Genomic DNA, 16,980 nt, shown 5'->3' with positions numbered 1-16,980 from the left:
TGACGCTGCATGAGGCACTGACCGTATTCCCAACCACAACCACCGAAAGGTTTTAGGACCAGCTTTCGACTTTCACTATTGCAGAGGGGGAAAATGTCAACTGTTCTGACTTAGTAAACTACATACATACTTAAAATCACATGTCATGTAAAATACTGATTAGAAATATTGCTTTCTTCCTTCTTGCATCTCATGAAACAGGTTCGCTCAGTCTATACACACATCCTTGGTATCTTTCCAACACCGCAGGCCTGCTGCGCTCAGCAGAGAAAACCACCTTCCCCTGTCTGGGGCACACGGGGGGTGCAGTTAATACAGGACGTTGGGGGATTTTCATCCCCAGTCACAGAGGCCCAACACCACCCATCATCTCCATGGGAGACGGCCCGAGATGTTTCTCATAACTGCCACCCCATCCCTGTGCAGGGGCTGCACCCCAGGGATGACAGCCACGCCTCTTCCAGACCTGCACTCCTGTCGATGGGCCTGTCAGGTGACCCCCACCAGCACCCCAAACCACCACTGAGGGTGGTCATTTCAGGGTCAGAGGTCTTCTGTGCCCAAACACTGCTGCACACTCCCTCAGAGAAAGCCACAGAGTCCAAAGACTTCCCGGGGTCCTTCGTCTGAGGACTGAAGACGCACATGAAACACGTACCCAAACAAACCCCTCTCAGAACCCACCAGCCACACACCAAGAAATGTGCCATGGAAACTTACCTGGACACAAGGACAGCAGCTGCATCTCGGGCCTTGTCACTGACAATCAAGTAGGACTGCAAGAAAGGGTGAAGCACAGACACGGTCACTCCTGCACACGCCAGCCTTGGGGACACCACACAGTCACCAGTCCCACCCTCACCAGCTCCCCGAGGGCCCAGGTTCACAAACCTTACCAGCACAGGCCTAAGTCCAAAGCTGCAAAAAAAAACCTCTCTTCAATCTGAGCCAAGGGCTACAGCTGCCAACTGCTACACTCACCCAGGAAGTGCCTGAGCTACACAGAGCATTTGGTCACACCCCCTTGAAACACACATTTGCAAGAACAGAGCAGGAGAATGTAAACAAAGGAGTTACCCAATTGTAACAAAGAATCAAGAGTATTCATTGAGCACCTAATATGCCTTCCAGCACAAGGGAACCATCAGTATTGGAGTATTCAGACTAGATAAGAGGCCCTGTTCAAACTGAAGAGCACCTAGATTTACTACAAATACCTAGTTATTTTTAATTTTTAGTGTTTAATTTTTGGGGTACATAGTAGGTGTATATATTTTTTGTTTTTGTTTTTGTTTTTTTTTTTTGAGACGGAGTCTTGCTCTGTCGCCCAGGCTGGAGGGCCGTGGCGCGATCTCGGCTCACTGCAAGCTCCGCCTCCCAGGTTCACGCCATTCTCCTGCCTCAGCCTCCCCAGTAGCTGGTCTTAGGGTTTTTTTGCTGTTGTTTTGAGACCGGGTCTCGCTCTGTCACCCAGGCTGGAGTACAGTGGTGTGAGCAAAGCTCACTGTAGGCTGGGCACTGCGGCTCACGCCTGTAATCCCAGCACTTTGAGAGGCTGGGGCAGGCGGATCACCTGAGGTCAGGAGTTTGAGACCAGCCTGGTCAATATGGTAAAACCCCGTCTCTACTAATGACACAAAAATTGGCCAGGCATGATGGCACATGCCTGTAATCCCAGCTACTCAGGAGGCTGAGGTGGGAGGATTGCTTGAGCCTCAAAGGCAGAGGCTGCAGTGAGTTGAGATTAGACCACTATACTCCAGAATGGGTGACAGGGCAAGACTCCATCTCAAAAAAAAAAAAACTCACTGCAGCACCAACCTCCCCAGCTCAGATGACCCTCCCACCTCAGCCTCCAGAATAGCTGGGACCAAAGGTGTGTACCACCACACCTGGCTAATTTTCTTTTATTTTTTGGTAGAGACTGAGTCACATTATATTGTCTAGGCTGCTCTCAAACTCCTGGGCTCAAGCTATCCTCCCACCCTGGCCTCCCAAAGTGCTGGAATTACAGGCATGAAACCTCCACGCCCAGCTAGATTTATTTTTCGGAGGGCTGCCTTAAAATGTTTCCAATGCTTGTCTCGGTTTTTTTTGTTTGTTTGTTTGTTTTTTCCCATAACGATACACTTAGAAGATCTTTTTTTCTGGGGCAGGCTTTTTTTTTTTTTTTTTTTTTTGAGACGGAGTCTTGCTCTGCTGCCCAGGCTAGAGTGCAGTGGTGCAATCTTGGCTCACTGCAACCTCTGCTTCCCGGGTTCAAGCAATTCTCTGCCTCAGCCTCCCAAGTAGCTGTTCATTTGTAAGAGAACAGTTGAATAAATATGAAAGGATCACAGGCACTAGCCACCATTCCCGGCTAATTTTTGTATTTTTAGTAGAGATGGGGTTTCACCATCTTGTCCAGGCTGGTCTTAAACTCCTGACCTCGTGATCCACCTGCCTCGGCCTCCCAAAGTGCTGGGATTACAGGTGTGAGCCACCGTGCCCGGCCTCCGGGGCAGGCTTTCTAACGGCAATCACAGAGTGCCAAGTCTTGACAAACCATGCTCCCTTGACCTGGCAGTCCCTCTCCACAGACAAGTAAACAAGGGTGGGTAAACCATACTACTTTTTTTTTTTTTTTTTGAGACGGAGTTTCACTCTTGTTGCCCAGGGTGGAGTGCAATGGCGTGATATCGGCTCACCACAACCTCCGCCTCCCAGGTTCAAGCGATTCTTCTGCCTCAGCCTCCTGAGTAGCTGGGACTACAGGCACGTGCCACCACGCCCAGCTAATGTTGTATTTTTAGTAGAGACAAGGTTTCTCCATGTTGGTCAGGCTGGTCTCGAATTCCTGACCTCAGGTGATATGCCCACCTTGGCCTCCCAGAGTGCTGGGATTACAGGCGTGAGCCACCGCACCCAGCCCATCACCACACTACCTCTAACGTAACAAAACAAGAACAAACAAAACATCCATCTATCAGAGAGAATTTTAAATTAGATTACAATGGAGTACCTTTTCCCTTAACGATTATGAGGGGGACACTTTCTGACATCGTAAGACACTAAGAACGTGTTGCTGAGGGTAAAAAGGACTCAGAACAGCAGGTCATGGGGCAATGCTGAGCCCTGATGAAGAGCACAGACTCCAGATAAACCGCCTGGATTCAAACATGGATCCACCATTTATGAGCAAAGTAAACTAAGTTATTAATTTTTATGCCTGTTGCCTTCTCGGTTAAACGAGGGTAAGAATTGTCAACAGCCTCATGAAGGAGAATTCAATGATTATTAATCACAGTTAATTAATCACTGATGATCTATCAATCATCAACGTATAGGTTAAATTTTTTTTTTTTTTTTTTTGAGATGGACTCTCGCTCTGTCACCCAGGCTGGAGTGCAGTGGCGTAATCTCAGTTCACTACAATCTCCACCTCCCAGGTTCAAGGGATTCTTCTGCCTCAGCCTCTTGAGTAGCTGGGATTACAGGTATGTGTCACCAGGCCCAGCTAATTTTTGTATTTTTAGTAGACACAGGGTTTCACCATGTTGGCCAGGCTGGTCTCGAAGTCCTAACCTCACGTGATCTGCCCGCCCCGGCCTCCCAAAGTGCTGGGATTACAGGAGTGACCCACCATGCCCAGCCCAATGTATAGGTTAAATTATTAATCCATAAGTGATTAAAGATTAATCTATGAGTGTTTGAACGGTGCCAGGCACACAGCAGGCACTCAGTGAATGCTGACCAGGGCTGTCGCAGTCAGCGTGGCAGGAAGACCGAGACAACTGAGATGGCTCAGAGCCTGACAGCCTCCTAGTGCTCGCTTGCGTAGGCTGGACTCGGTGACTTGCTGCTAACCACAGGATCTGGCAGAGGAATGGGACGTCACTTCCATGATCAGGTAACATATTATCATGACTTCCATCTCATTAGCAGAGTTTCTCCCTTGCAGGCTTTGATGGAATAAGTCACTAAGTTGGAGGGGCCCAGGTGGCAAAGAACTGAGGGTGGCCTCAATCCAACGGCCTTGGGGCAAAGCCTGCCCATGTCGAGTTTTAACTGCAGCTGTGGGCAAGCTTGACACAAAGGACCCAGCTCAGCCATGCCAGACTCCCGACCCACAGAAACTACAAGAGGATAAATGTGTGTCAAACACTCAAGTTTGGGGTAATTAGTTATGATCCAATAGATAACTAATACAATAAGCTGTGTTTATATGCATAATATTTACATCAGGAAAAGTTCGGAGAAAATAAACAACTTATCTCTTGGCACTAGAATTTCATAAATTTAAATTTAGTATTTTTCTTGCTTATCTTTATTTTCTAGTTCTCCTACAAATGAGCATCTATTATTTATATAACGTTAAGAACTAAATGTAAAATGGGTCCTTATTCTCTCTCACCATGCCACTAAACCCTTCCTTATCTGCCATGATTACCCTCAACAGAGTATTTGCATCATCTACAAAGAAATGAGATTTGCTAACTCAACCTGACCCCTACATGAATTATCACAATTTCAAAATAAGTTATCCTATGGGATTTTACCCCACTGAAAAAAACAGCAGTTGAATACATATCAGAAGCTTACCGAGTAAACCACTAACATCAAGACAGCATGAACATGAAAGTGAGTACTAATTAGCAGCTAATTATCTGCATGATATTTACCTCTGCTATTTGGAGAATACGGTCCATTATGGACATTCGTGCTTGCCCAGGCTGGGTGAGGAGGTTCCCGTCAAGGCGAGAAAAATCAAAAGGGATCAGGCAGGTCACGGAGAGCCAGAGCAAAAGCATGTAGCGGGTTTCCCAAGCCTAAAAAATTAAACCACGGGAAGAATGAGTCTTGCTTGAAAATCACAGGCCACTGGCCACAATCTACTCAAAGTCACTGCCCTCCATGCCCACCCAATGCCTATGAAAGCCATTCAAATGCCATCACCCTCAGGGCCAGAAATGCAAGCCGTTCACCAACTCCTCGCCACATCCCCCCCGGAATCCCCACCACACACACCTACCGCCGTAACTTAGCTCAGCAGACAAGAGAGACATCAAAATGAACAAAGAAAAATCATAATACATCAGTATAGCAGCTTCTCTTCGCTGGCACCTCTCCACATACAAACTGGCCTTTTGAAAAAGTGAAAAACAGATAAAAAGTAAAAACACCTAAGAATAAAGAAAAAAGGCCAGGTGTGGTGGTTCACACCTGTAATCCCAACACTTTGGGAGGCCGAGACGAGCGGATCACCTGAGGTCAGGAGTTCCTTTTTTTTTTTTTGAGATGGAGTCTCGCTCTGTTGCCCAGGCTGGAGTGCAGTGGCGCAACCTCGCTCACTGCAAGCTCCACCTTCCGGGTTCACGCCATTCTCCTGCCTCAGCCTTCTGAGTAGCTGGGACTACAGGCGTTTGCCACCATGCTAGGCTAATTTTTGTATTTTTTGTAGACACAGGGTTGCACCGTGTTAGCCAGGATGGTCTCGATCTCCTGACCTCGTGATCCGCCCACCTTGGCCTCCCAAACTGCTGGGATTACAGGCACGAGCCACCGTGCCTGGCCGAGGTCAAGAGTCCTAAACCAGCCTGACCAACATGGAGAAACCCTGTTTCTACTAAAAATACAAAATTACCCTGGCGTGATGACACATGCCTGTAATCCCAGCTACTCAGGAGGCTGACACAGGAGAATCGCTTGAACCTGGGAGACAGAGGTTGCAGTGAGCCAAGATTGTGCCATTGCTCTCCAACCTGGGCAAGAAGAGTGAAACTCTGTCTTTTTAAAAAAAAAAGAATAAAGAAAACAATTATCAACTTCTAATAAAAAAGGAGTACCCTTATTTTCAGTAATTAGTAAAAAACATCCCAATTTGTCCCTGCAATCATTCCACTGGGGGGCGCTAGAAGTACTAGGGAAAGAAGGGCACGGAGTGCAGGGCAGCAGGGAAATGCCCCACAGCGCTCATCAGTCACATCCACGCCGAGACAAGCCACCGCACTGCACGGTTATAAACCGTGTGCTCCTCCAAATACATACCACGCAGAAGACAGCGAGCATAGCAGGCCCCGCTGCCGTCTGAGGCAAGGCCCCTGACGAGGCCGGCCCTGGGCTGGTATCCAGGGACCTGGACACCAGCAGGGTTCCCACCAAGCCCTGCCTGATGAGGTCCCTCGCTGGCTCAATCTGCACAAACCGTGTGCTTTACGCTGGCACCTGCTTTCCTGCTGGGGGTCTGGAATTTCGTTTCGTGCCAGGCAGAGGTGTCCATGTGGCCAGACCCCAGTGAAAGCTCTGGGCACCAAGTCTCAAACGTGCTTCTCTGATAGACACCTCACAGGTGTGGTCACATCTCACTGCTGGGGGAATGACACAGGCCCTGTGGGACCCAACTGGAGGACCCCGGGAGCTCCCGCCTGGTTCTCCCCAGACCCCACCCATGTGCCTTTTCCCTTTGCTGATTTTGCTGTGTATTATTTTGCCATAACAAGTGACAGCCAAAAGGAGGACTCTATGCTGAGTGCTGTGAGTCCCGCTCAGGAAGTATCAAACCTGGGGGTGGTCTTGGGAACCCAACACAGTTATACTTACACAGTTAAAAAAACATAGAAACAATGACGGATTTATTGTTAAACTACACCTAGGCATAATTTTTTTTATAAAGGGGCTATTTTAAACGAAAATAATTTAAAGCAACTTGTACAAGAAGTAAAGGAAAAGTGAAAAGAAAAGAAAGAAAAGAGGAGTGACACAAAACAAAGGGAGATAAAATGAAAGAAACAGGAAGGGGAAGGTGCAGCAGGGTGGGGCAAGCAGGGAGGAAGGACAGGCACGGAGGGCTGGAGACGAGGGGGGAGGCAGAGACACTCACTTCATGGTCCTTGGGATTCTGAATTGTGACCAAATCTAAAACAGGCTCTACATCGGCAACTTCATGAGGAAATAAACGAAGAAATGTTTTATAGCCTCGAACCTATCAAATAAAGAGATGCTGAATTATAACATTTAAAAATACAGAGAGCAGCAAAATTGCCTTTCTACCCTTTCATCAAAAATCACCAGCTACGCGACCCACTGATCAAAGAGAATTCTGTGACATTACAGTGACACAATTTAGTAAGACCGTAGTCACCCCAAGAAAGCTACCCATGGCCAAGAGCGATGGCTCACACCCGTAATCCCAGCACTTTGGGAGGCCGAGGCAAAAGAATAGCTTGAGACCAAGAGTTGGAGACTAGCCTGGGCAACATAAAAAATTAAAAATTAGACAGGATGGTGGCACATGCCTGTAGTCTGAGAGGATGAGGCAGGAGGGAGAATCATTTGAGACCAAGAGTTCGAGGCTGCAGTGAGCTGACTGCATCACTGCACTCTAGCCTGAGTGACAGAGCAAGACCCCATCTCTCAAAAAAAAAGATTTCCTTCCTAAATTGGTAGTGTTATTCATTACCATATTTACGGAATCAGTCATTAAATATGTTCATTTATATGACTGTCCTCTGACATTTATGAGGAATAAGTGCCTACAAACCGCAAGGGCCCAAATTCATTAACACTTCCCTGAAGCTCAGTGATACCACGCCTTCCGGAGAAATCCTAACCTCAAACAGAGGAGCTACAGAGGCCTGCGTGTCCTTGGCAGCTCACCCGCAGTGTCCTCTCGCTGGCCAAGGACTTTCCCGCCAGACAACAGAAATGCGCCTCGCCACTACGAACCCCAAGCCCCACCCTGAGACGGCTGTGAGTACTTCCATAGTCAAAACTGCCAACAGTGAGCCTCTGGGCCAGCACACAGACACCCGCAAGCTTGTAAGAAAAGCAGACTATGAGCACAGACACCCGCAAGCTTGTAAGAAAAGCAGACTATGAGCAGACACCCGCAAGCTTGTAAGAAAAGCAGACTATGAGCACAGACACCCGCAAGCTTGTAAGAAAAGCAGACTATGAGCACAGACACCCGCAAGCTTGTAAGAAAAGCAGACTATGAGCACAGACACCCGCAAGCTTGTAAGAAAAGCAGACTATGAGCACAGACACCCGCAAGCTTGTAAGAAAAGCAGACTATGAGCAGACACCCGCAAGCTTGTAAGAAAAGCAGACTATGAGCACAGACACCCGCAAGCTTGTAAGAAAAGCAGACTATGAGCAGACACCCGCAAGCTTGTAAGAAAAGCAGACTATGAGCAGACACCCGCAAGCTTGTAAGAAAAGCAGACTATGAGCACAGACACCCGCAAGCTTGTAAGAAAAGCAGACTATGAGCACAGACACCCGCAAGCTTGTAAGAAAAGCAGACTATGAGCACAGACACCCGCAAGCTTGTAAGAAAAGCAGACTATGAGCACAGACACCCGCAAGCTTGTAAGAAAAGCAGACTATGAGCACAGACACCCGCAAGCTTGTAAGAAAAGCAGACTATGAGCACAGACACCCGCAAGCTTGTAAGAAAAGCAGACTATGAGCACAGACACCCGCAAGCTTGTAAGAAAAGCAGACTATGAGACCCCCGCCTAGACCTACTTGCTCAAAATCTATAGCACAGCAAAATTCCCAGGAAATTCATCTGCACATTAAAGTGTGAGAAGCACTTCCATTTCCACAGAGTCTCGCTCTGTCACTCAGGCTGGAGTGCAACAGCATGATCTCGGCTCACTGCAACCTCTGCCTCTCAGGTTCAAGCCATTCTCCCGCCTCAGCCTCCCAAGCAGCTGGGATTACAGTCATGTGCCACCAAGCCCAGCTAATTTTTGTATTTTTAGTAGAGACGGGGTTTCACCATGTTGGCCAGGCTCATCTCGAACTCCTGACCACAGGTGATCCACCTGCCTCAGCCTCCCAAAGTGCTGGGATTACAGGCATGAGCCACCGCACCCGGCCTGCTTTCTCCTTGTAAGAAGTTTTTCTGATTTAGTCTCATCTCCACCCCATTCCCTTCCTAGCTACACAGTGCTTCAATCTATTCAAATGCAAGATGCTGAATATCCTGACACTGTTTCAGCCAAAGAGCCCACATCACTAAATTCTGATCCCCAACATACAGTAAAAAGGGACAGAATTAAACCCACAACTTGTGTCTAAGAACTATCTTTCTTGAGAAATAACATTTTGGAGGGTAACCTCTGGACCAAGTATATTACAAAAGTATCTGTCAACTCTGAAGTGCTATGGAAATGTTACCTTGGTGATGATGTAAAGAAATTTAAAAGCCAGATGTACAAGGGAAGCTGGAGATGTCTGATCTTGCACTATGTCCAACAACAAGTTCATCATCCATTCTAGGGAAAAACATAGGAAACATTTACTGTAAAAGTGAACATCAACATGACATTGAGGCCGGCCAGGTGTGGTGGCTCATGCCTGTTTTCCCAGCACTTTGGGAGACCAAGGTGGGAGGATCATTTGAAGCCAGAATTTCAAGGCGGCAATGAGCTATGATCCTACTATTGCACTCCAGCCTGGGCAACAGAGCAAAACCCGTCTCTTTTTTTTCTTTTTTTTTGAGACAGAGTCTTGCTCTGTCCCCCAGGCTGGAGTGCAGTGGCGTGATCTCAGCTCACTGCAACCTCCACCTCCCGGGTTCAGGCTATTCTCCTCCCTCAGATTCCCAAGTAGCTGGAATTACAGGCACGCGTCACCACGCCTGGCTAATTTTTGTATTTTTAGTAGAGACGGGGTTTCACCATGTTGGCCAGGCTGGTCTCGAACTCCTGACCTCAGGTGATCCACCCACCTCGGCCTCCCAAAGTGATGGGATTACAGGTGTGAGCCCACCGCACCTGGCCCAAAACCCTGTCTCTTAAAAAACAAAAACAAACAAAAAGACATAGCTAGGTTAAACGTAAGCAAAAGGAAAAAGATATTCCAACCAATCACAAATCATAAAAGAGCTGGAGTGGCTCTGTTAATATCAGACAAAGTAAATGTCAGAACAAGCATTACCATCAGAGATAAACAGAATGTTTCATGATAATAAAAGGATCAATTCATCATGAAGACTTAACAATTCTGTAAGTATACACACCAACCTACAGAGCTTCAAAATAAGCACAGAAGAAGCTGAGAGAAATGAAAGGAGACACGGTTGAAAACTTCGACACTCCTGTTTCAGGAACTGATAGAACAAGTAAGAGAAAATCGCTGAAACCTAAACAGCACTATCACCCACCTTACTTACGTGACATTTAGAGAACAATCTACCCAACAACAGAACAGACATTTTTCTCAAGTGCACGCGGAATGTTCAACAAAACAGACCATACGCTGGGCTGCAAGTCTTCATACATGGAAAACAACTGCAACTGGCATCCGGGAAACGCAGAGAAGGACACAACGAGATACACTCCCTGAAATCAGAGAGACTGGCAACGCTGAGTGCTGAAGAGAACCCAGAGCAGCTGGAATCCTCATACCTTGTTGGTAGAAATGGTCAACAGTACAATCTTCATGGCATCAGTATGGCAGGTGATGAGTCACACACTTTTTTTTTTTTTGGAGACAGAGTCTCACTCTGTGACCCAGGCTGGAGTGCAGTGGTGTCATCTCAGCTTACTGCAACCTCTGCCTCCCACATTCAAGTAATTCTCGTGCCTCAGCCTCCTGAGTAGCTGGGACTACAGGCACCTGCCACCACACCCGGCTAATTTTTTGTATTTTAGTAGAGATGGGGTTTTACCATGTTGCCCAGGCTGGTCTTGAGCTCCTGAGCTCAGGCAATCCACCTGCCTCAGTCTCCCAAAGTGCTAGAATTACAGGTAGGAGCCACCGCGCCTGGCCAAGTCATACACTTTCTACAAGTAAGACACTTTCTGCTACTCAGCAATTCCACACATGCGTATTTTCCCAAGAGAAAATAAAACCTCTGTCTACCTAAAAACTTGTACATAAACATTTTCACAGTAGCATTACTTTTTTTTTTTTTTTTTTTGAGACGGAGTCTCGCTCTATCACCCAGGCTGGAGTGCAGTGGCAAGATCTCGGCTCACTGCAACCTCCACCTCCCGGGTTCAAGCAATTTTCCTGCCTCAGCCTCCCAAGTAGCTGGGACTACATGCGCACACCGCCACACTGGGCTAATTTTTTGTATTTTTAGTAGAGATGGGGTTTCACCGTGTTAGCCAGGATAGTCTCAATCTCCTGACCTCATGATCTGCCCACCTCAGCCTCCCAAAAAGTAGCATTATTAATAACAGCCAAAAACCGGAAACAACTCAAATGTCCATCAACAGATAAAAGAAGAAACAACCCCAGCACTTTGGAAGGCTGAGGCGGGCGGATCACGAGGTCAGGAGATCGAGACCATCCTGGTTAACAAGGTGAAACCCCGTCTCTACTAAAAATAAAAAAAAAATTAGCTGGGTGTGTTGGCGGGCACCCGTAGTCCCAGCTACTCGGGAGGCTGAGGCAGGAGAATGGCGTGAACCCGGGTGGCAGAGCTTGCAGTGAGCCGAGATCGCACCACTGCACTCCACCGCACTCCAGCCTGGGCAACAGACCAAGACTCCATCTCAAAAAAAAAAAAGAAGAAACAAATTGTGATTTATCAGCACGAGAGAAAACGTACAAACTACTGATACACACACCAACAATGGTAAGTCCCGGAGATGTTATTTTAACAACGGAAGACAAAAAGAGCACATACTGAATGATTCTAGAACAGGCAAAACTAATGAACAGTACCATTAACCAACAGTGGTTCCCTAGGGCTGGGGTGAGGGGACTGACAGCAAAAGGACATCAAGTAACTCCTTGGGATGACAGAAATGTTCCATATCTTGATAGCGCGGGGTGTATACATTTACCGAAACTCAAACATCTTACTAAAATGGGTGCATTTTATAGTAGGTAAATTTTAAACTCAATAAAATTAAAACTCAATAAAATGTTCTAAGAATAAAAATTTATAATCGTGGATAAAGAGTAGCATTATTTACAAACCATATAATATTTACCTGCTAAGAAAACCCAGAAGAAACAACTGGCCGGGCACGGTGGCTCACGCCTGTAATCCCAGCACTTTGGGAGGCCGAGGCAGGTGGATCACCTGAGGTCAGGAGTTCAAGACAAGCCTGGCCATCATGGTGAAACCCTGTCTCTACTCAGAATACAAAAATTGGCCAGGCTAATTTTACAGGTGGCGCCTGTAATCCCAGCTACTCAGGAGGCTGAGGCAGGAGAATCGCTTGAACCCAGGAGAAGGAGGTTGCAGTGAGCCAAGATCACGCCATTACACTCCAGCCTGGGTGACAGAGCAAGACTTTGTCTCCAAAAAAAAAAAAAGACTGAAAAACTATTGAAGTAAACATTTCATCACACAGTGAACCTCATAGACATGATGCTAAGTGAAAAAAGCCAGTGCCAAAAGACCTCCTACTGCATGATTCCATCACACAAAATGCTGAATACACACAAACCCAGAGCCAGATGAGTGGTTACTGCGGAAGCAGAGAATGGGAAGGAATTGTTGATGGGAGTTGGGTTGCTTCAGATGATGAAAATGCCTAGATTGTGGTAGTGATAGTTACACAACTCTGTAATACACTAATACACTAACACTAAAATGTATATTTAGAAGAGTGAACTCTATAGTATGTAATTATATCCCTATAAAGATGTTAAGAAATGTATGTTTACACATACATATTCCATTACAGTGTTGCCATTTACAAAAACAGTATACAAAACATATCTTCACTAGACATCAGCAATAACTAGTTAGAACACATAACAAATAGTTTCACAAGAGCAATAAAAGACAAAACATACCTAGAAATAAACCTAAAAAAAAGTCTCCAGGAATCATCTAAAGAAAATCACCAACCTTCACTGAGGAACACAAAAGATGTGAATAATTAGAGACATAATACCATGATCTTAGACATGAAAATTAAATCTTAGAAAGACTTCTCCCCTACATGAATTTGTGAATTTAATAGAATTCCAAAGGGTGGAGAGTGATAAAATAATTCCGGAGTTCATCCGCATTAATGAACGGGCTACAAAACCATCAAGAAAATAAGAGGAAAGGATGCCAGGCAAAATATAAACTAACATCAAACAAAATGACCCAGGCCAGGCGTGGTGGCTCACGCCTCTAATTCCAGCACTTTGGGAGGCCAAGGCGGGCAGACTGCTTGAGGTCAGGAGTTCGAGACTATCCTGGCCAACATGATGAAAACCGTTCTCTACTAAAAATACAAAAATTAGCCAGGCGTGGTGGCACATGCTACTCGGGAGGCTGAGGCAGGAGAATCTCTTGAACCTGGGAGGCGGAGGTTGCAGTAAGCCAAGAACACGCCACTGCACTCCAGCCTGGGTGACAGAGCGAGACTCCATCTCAAAAAAAAAAAAAAAACAAACAAACGAAATGACCCAGAAAAAAGAGCATACAGATAGGTCAATGGAACAGGATAAAAAATCTAAAAGCAAAGGCTAATATATTTGAATATTTAATATAGATTTAAAATGGCATTTCAAGTAGGGGAGAGGCCACTAAATCATCCAATAAATGAGGCTTACATAACTGATTAGGAAAAATAAACTTTCTAACCGTACTACCAAAGGCCAAACACAAAGAAACTGATAGTTTGACAAGCTAAATATTTCTAAAACTTCAGTAGAGACTGGGTGCAGTGGCTCACACCTGTCATCCCAGCACTGTGGGAGGCCAAGGCAGGATTGCTTGGGGCCAGAAGTTCGAGACCAGCCTGAGGAACACAGCGTGACCCTGACCCTGCAAAAACAAAATTTTTTTTTTTTTGAGACAGTCTGGCTCTGTAGCCCACGCTGGAGTGCAGTGGCACGATCTCGTTCACTGCTACCTCCGCGTCCTGGGTCCCAGTTCAAGCAATTCTCCTGCCTCGGCCTCTCAAGTAGCTGGGATTACAGGCATGCTTCACCATGCCCAGCTAATTTTTGTATTTTTAGTAGAGACAGGGTTTCACCATGTTGGTCAGGCTGGTCTTGAACTCCTGACCTTGTAATCCACCCGCCTCGGCCTCCCAAAGTGCTAGGATCAGAGGCATGAGCTACTGCGCCTGGCCAAAAAAAAAAGTTTTTTAATTAACTAGGCATGGCAGCTTGTGCCTGTTGTCCCAGCTCTGCAGGAGGCTGAAGTGAGAAGATCACTTAATCCCAGGAGCTCAAGGCTGCAGTGAGCTATGACTGCGCCACTACACTCCAGCCTGGGTGACAGAGCGAGATCCCATCTCTTTAAAAAAACAAACACGAAAAAACTTCAGTAGATAAAATACACCAGACACAATATTAAAAGGCAAAAGCAGGCCGGGCACAATGGCTCACACCTGTAATCCCAGCACTTTGGGAGACCAAGGTGGGCAGATCACGTGGGGGTCAGGAGTTTGAGACCAGCCTGGCCAACATGGTGAAACCCTGTCTCTACTAAAAATGCAAAAAATTAGCCAGGCGTGGTAGCACACGCCTGTAATCCCAGCTACGCTGGAGGCTGAGGCAGGAGAATCGCTTGAACCCTGGAGGCAGAAGTTGCAGTGAGCCAAGATTGGGCCACTATACTCCAGCCTGGGCAACAGAGAGACTACATCTCAAAAAAAAAAAAAAAAAAGAAAAAAAAAAAAGCAAAAGGGTGGAAAAATGTGCAACAAATGACAAAGGACCAGCATCCCACGACTACATTTTCCTTTTTCTAAAAAGGAATTCCAGAAAATAATGAACTCAGCTGGGCACGCTGGCTCACACCTGAAATCCCAGCACTTTAGGAGGCCAAGGTGGGTGAACCGCTTGAACCCAGAGGTATGAGACCAGCCTGGGCAACACGGCAAGACCCCTTCTCTACAAAAAAAAAAATTTATTTATTTATTTATTTTTTTTTTTTTTTTTTTCCGAGACGTTTTCGTTCTTGTTGCCCAGGCTGGAGTACAATGGCACGATCTTGGCTCACTGCAACCTCTGCCTCCTGGGTTCGGGCAATTCTCCTGCTTCAGCCCCAAGTAGCTGGGATTACAGGCGTGCACCACACGCGGCTAATTTTTGCATTTTTAGTAGATACGGGGTTTCACTATGTTGGTCAGGCTGGTCTCAAACTCCTGACCTCAGGTGATCCACCCGCCCCGGCCTCCCAAAGTGCTGGGATTACAGGCATAAGCCACCACACCCGGCGAAAAACAGTTTTTGCAAAGAAAGAAAATAACTCTAAAAATCATTCGCAGTACTCTAAGCAGCTCACAACAAGTGTTAATATTCCATGATCCACTCTGGAAAGAGGTCTGGCAAGAATAAAGGCATTTAACTACAGGTCCAACGTTGTTACTTGAAGAGATATAAAAACACCACCCGCTACCTTGTGAGCAGTGACCACATCTGTTTCCTGGGAACCAGCGCTCACACACAGGAACTCCAGGAACCCAAGACCTCCTATAAGATATGGCCTGGGGAGCCCACTGCCTGCCACGCCATCCAGCATGGCTAGCCCCTCCACCAGATGTCAGAGTCATGTTCCCTGCAGCTGACCCTCTCCCAAGGACCTCTATCTTTGGTCTCCTTCACAAGGCCTATAAATTTTTCTAGGACAGAAGGACAAGTCTGATCCCAATGAATTCTTGAATCCCGAATTTAGAGGGTTTTTTTTGGTTTTTTTTTTTTTTTGAGATGAAGTCTCACTCTGTCACCCAGGCTGGAGTGCAGTGACGTGATCTCAGCTCACTGCAAGCTCCGCCTCCCGGGTTCACGCCATTCTCCTGCCTCAGCCTCCCAAGTAACTGGGACTACAGGCAACTGCCAGCATGCCCAGCTAACGTTTTGTATTATTAGTAGAGACAGGGTTTCATCGTGTTAGCCATGCTGGTCTCGAACTCCCGACCTCAAGTGATCCACCCGCCTCCACCTCCCAAAGTGCTGGGATTACAGGCATGAGCCACCACCCCCAGCCAAAATCTGTTATTTGAAGAAAAAAAAACAGAACAAGATGCACAGCACAAACTACTCTTTAAGAGGCACGTGTGCGCACATGAAAGGCTGACCCTTAGTGTCTCTCACACAGATCTCAACACCACGGGGGGCGAGGAAACCCCGGCAAAGAGCAGCTCAAAAACTGAATGGTGAAACTGGGCTATGAAGCCAGGGTGCCCCCACCCAGGGTGCTCCCTCTCAACGTGGTGACTATTGCCACCTTCCTCTTTCCCAGGTGAACTGCCAGAAGCATGTGTCACATTTGTAGGTAGAAAAAGAAAAATTTTAATCAGTGTGAAATACATCAAAAATAAAGAAAACAATAAGAAACCACACCCCTTACACTAAAGTAAGAAAACCGAGCCTCAGTGTCCCCATCTGTAAACTGGAGATGACAACAGATGCCCTCCTTAGCTGCTGTGAGGATTAAATGATGACCCATGTAAAACACCTGACCCTGTATGACTATTACCAGAAAAACATCATGTGCCCAAATGTAAACTAAAATAATAAACTAATGTAAACTAAAAACACTTGAGGAGGCCAGGCGCGGTGGCTCACGCCTGTAATCCCAGCACTTTGGGAGGCCGAGGCAGGCGGATCACGAGGTCAGGAGATCAAGACCATCCTGGCCAACATAGTGAAACCCCGTCTCTACTAAAAATACAAAAATTAGCTGGGCATGGTGGCGCATGCCTGTAATCCCAGCTACTCGGGAGGCAGAGGCAGGAGAATCCCTTGAACCAGGGAGCTGGAGGATGCAGTGAGCTGAGATCGCGCCACAGCACTCTAGCCTGGAGACAGAGCGAGACTCCGTCTCAAAAAAAAGAAAAAAAAACAAAAAAAACACATGAGGAGCAGATGTTGTTTCCTTAGCAGAAAGGAATTAAGTAGCTCAGACACATCTCCCCCCAGCCTAGAGTGACATCTGGAACTCAAGCCACTATCACAGGTCGGCTAAAACCAACCAGCCAGGCAAGCAAGACAGGGACACTTCTTGGCATTTGATCCTGGCAAAGCACATGCATGTGCCAGCACCACACACCAAGGCCTCCGTGGTCATCTGTAACT

General features: G+C 46.7%; 1 protein-coding gene across 12 annotated transcripts in view; it reads right to left on the bottom strand.

Annotated features, from left to right (window-relative positions):
- Positions 1-16,980, bottom strand: part of TBCD (tubulin folding cofactor D) — a 193,850-nt gene that overhangs the window by 172,687 nt on the left and 4,183 nt on the right. For all 12 annotated transcript variants that reach the window (NM_005993.5, NM_001411102.1, NM_001437989.1 and 9 more), the window contains 4 exons: positions 9,166-9,263; positions 6,860-6,961; positions 4,662-4,808; positions 721-776 (listed from right to left, as the gene is read on the bottom strand). In NM_005993.5, the coding sequence (NP_005984.3) occupies positions 721-776; positions 4,662-4,808; positions 6,860-6,961; positions 9,166-9,263 (403 nt within the window). The remainder of the gene's footprint in view (positions 1-720; positions 777-4,661; positions 4,809-6,859; positions 6,962-9,165; positions 9,264-16,980) is intronic.

The sequence above is a fragment of the Homo sapiens genome, chromosome 17 (assembly GCF_000001405.40).
Source record: "Homo sapiens chromosome 17, GRCh38.p14 Primary Assembly".
NCBI classification, from domain to species: Eukaryota; Metazoa; Chordata; class Mammalia; order Primates; family Hominidae; genus Homo; species Homo sapiens.
Note: the sequence above shows the minus strand (reverse complement) of the source record. Positions and strands in the feature narration are given on the sequence as shown.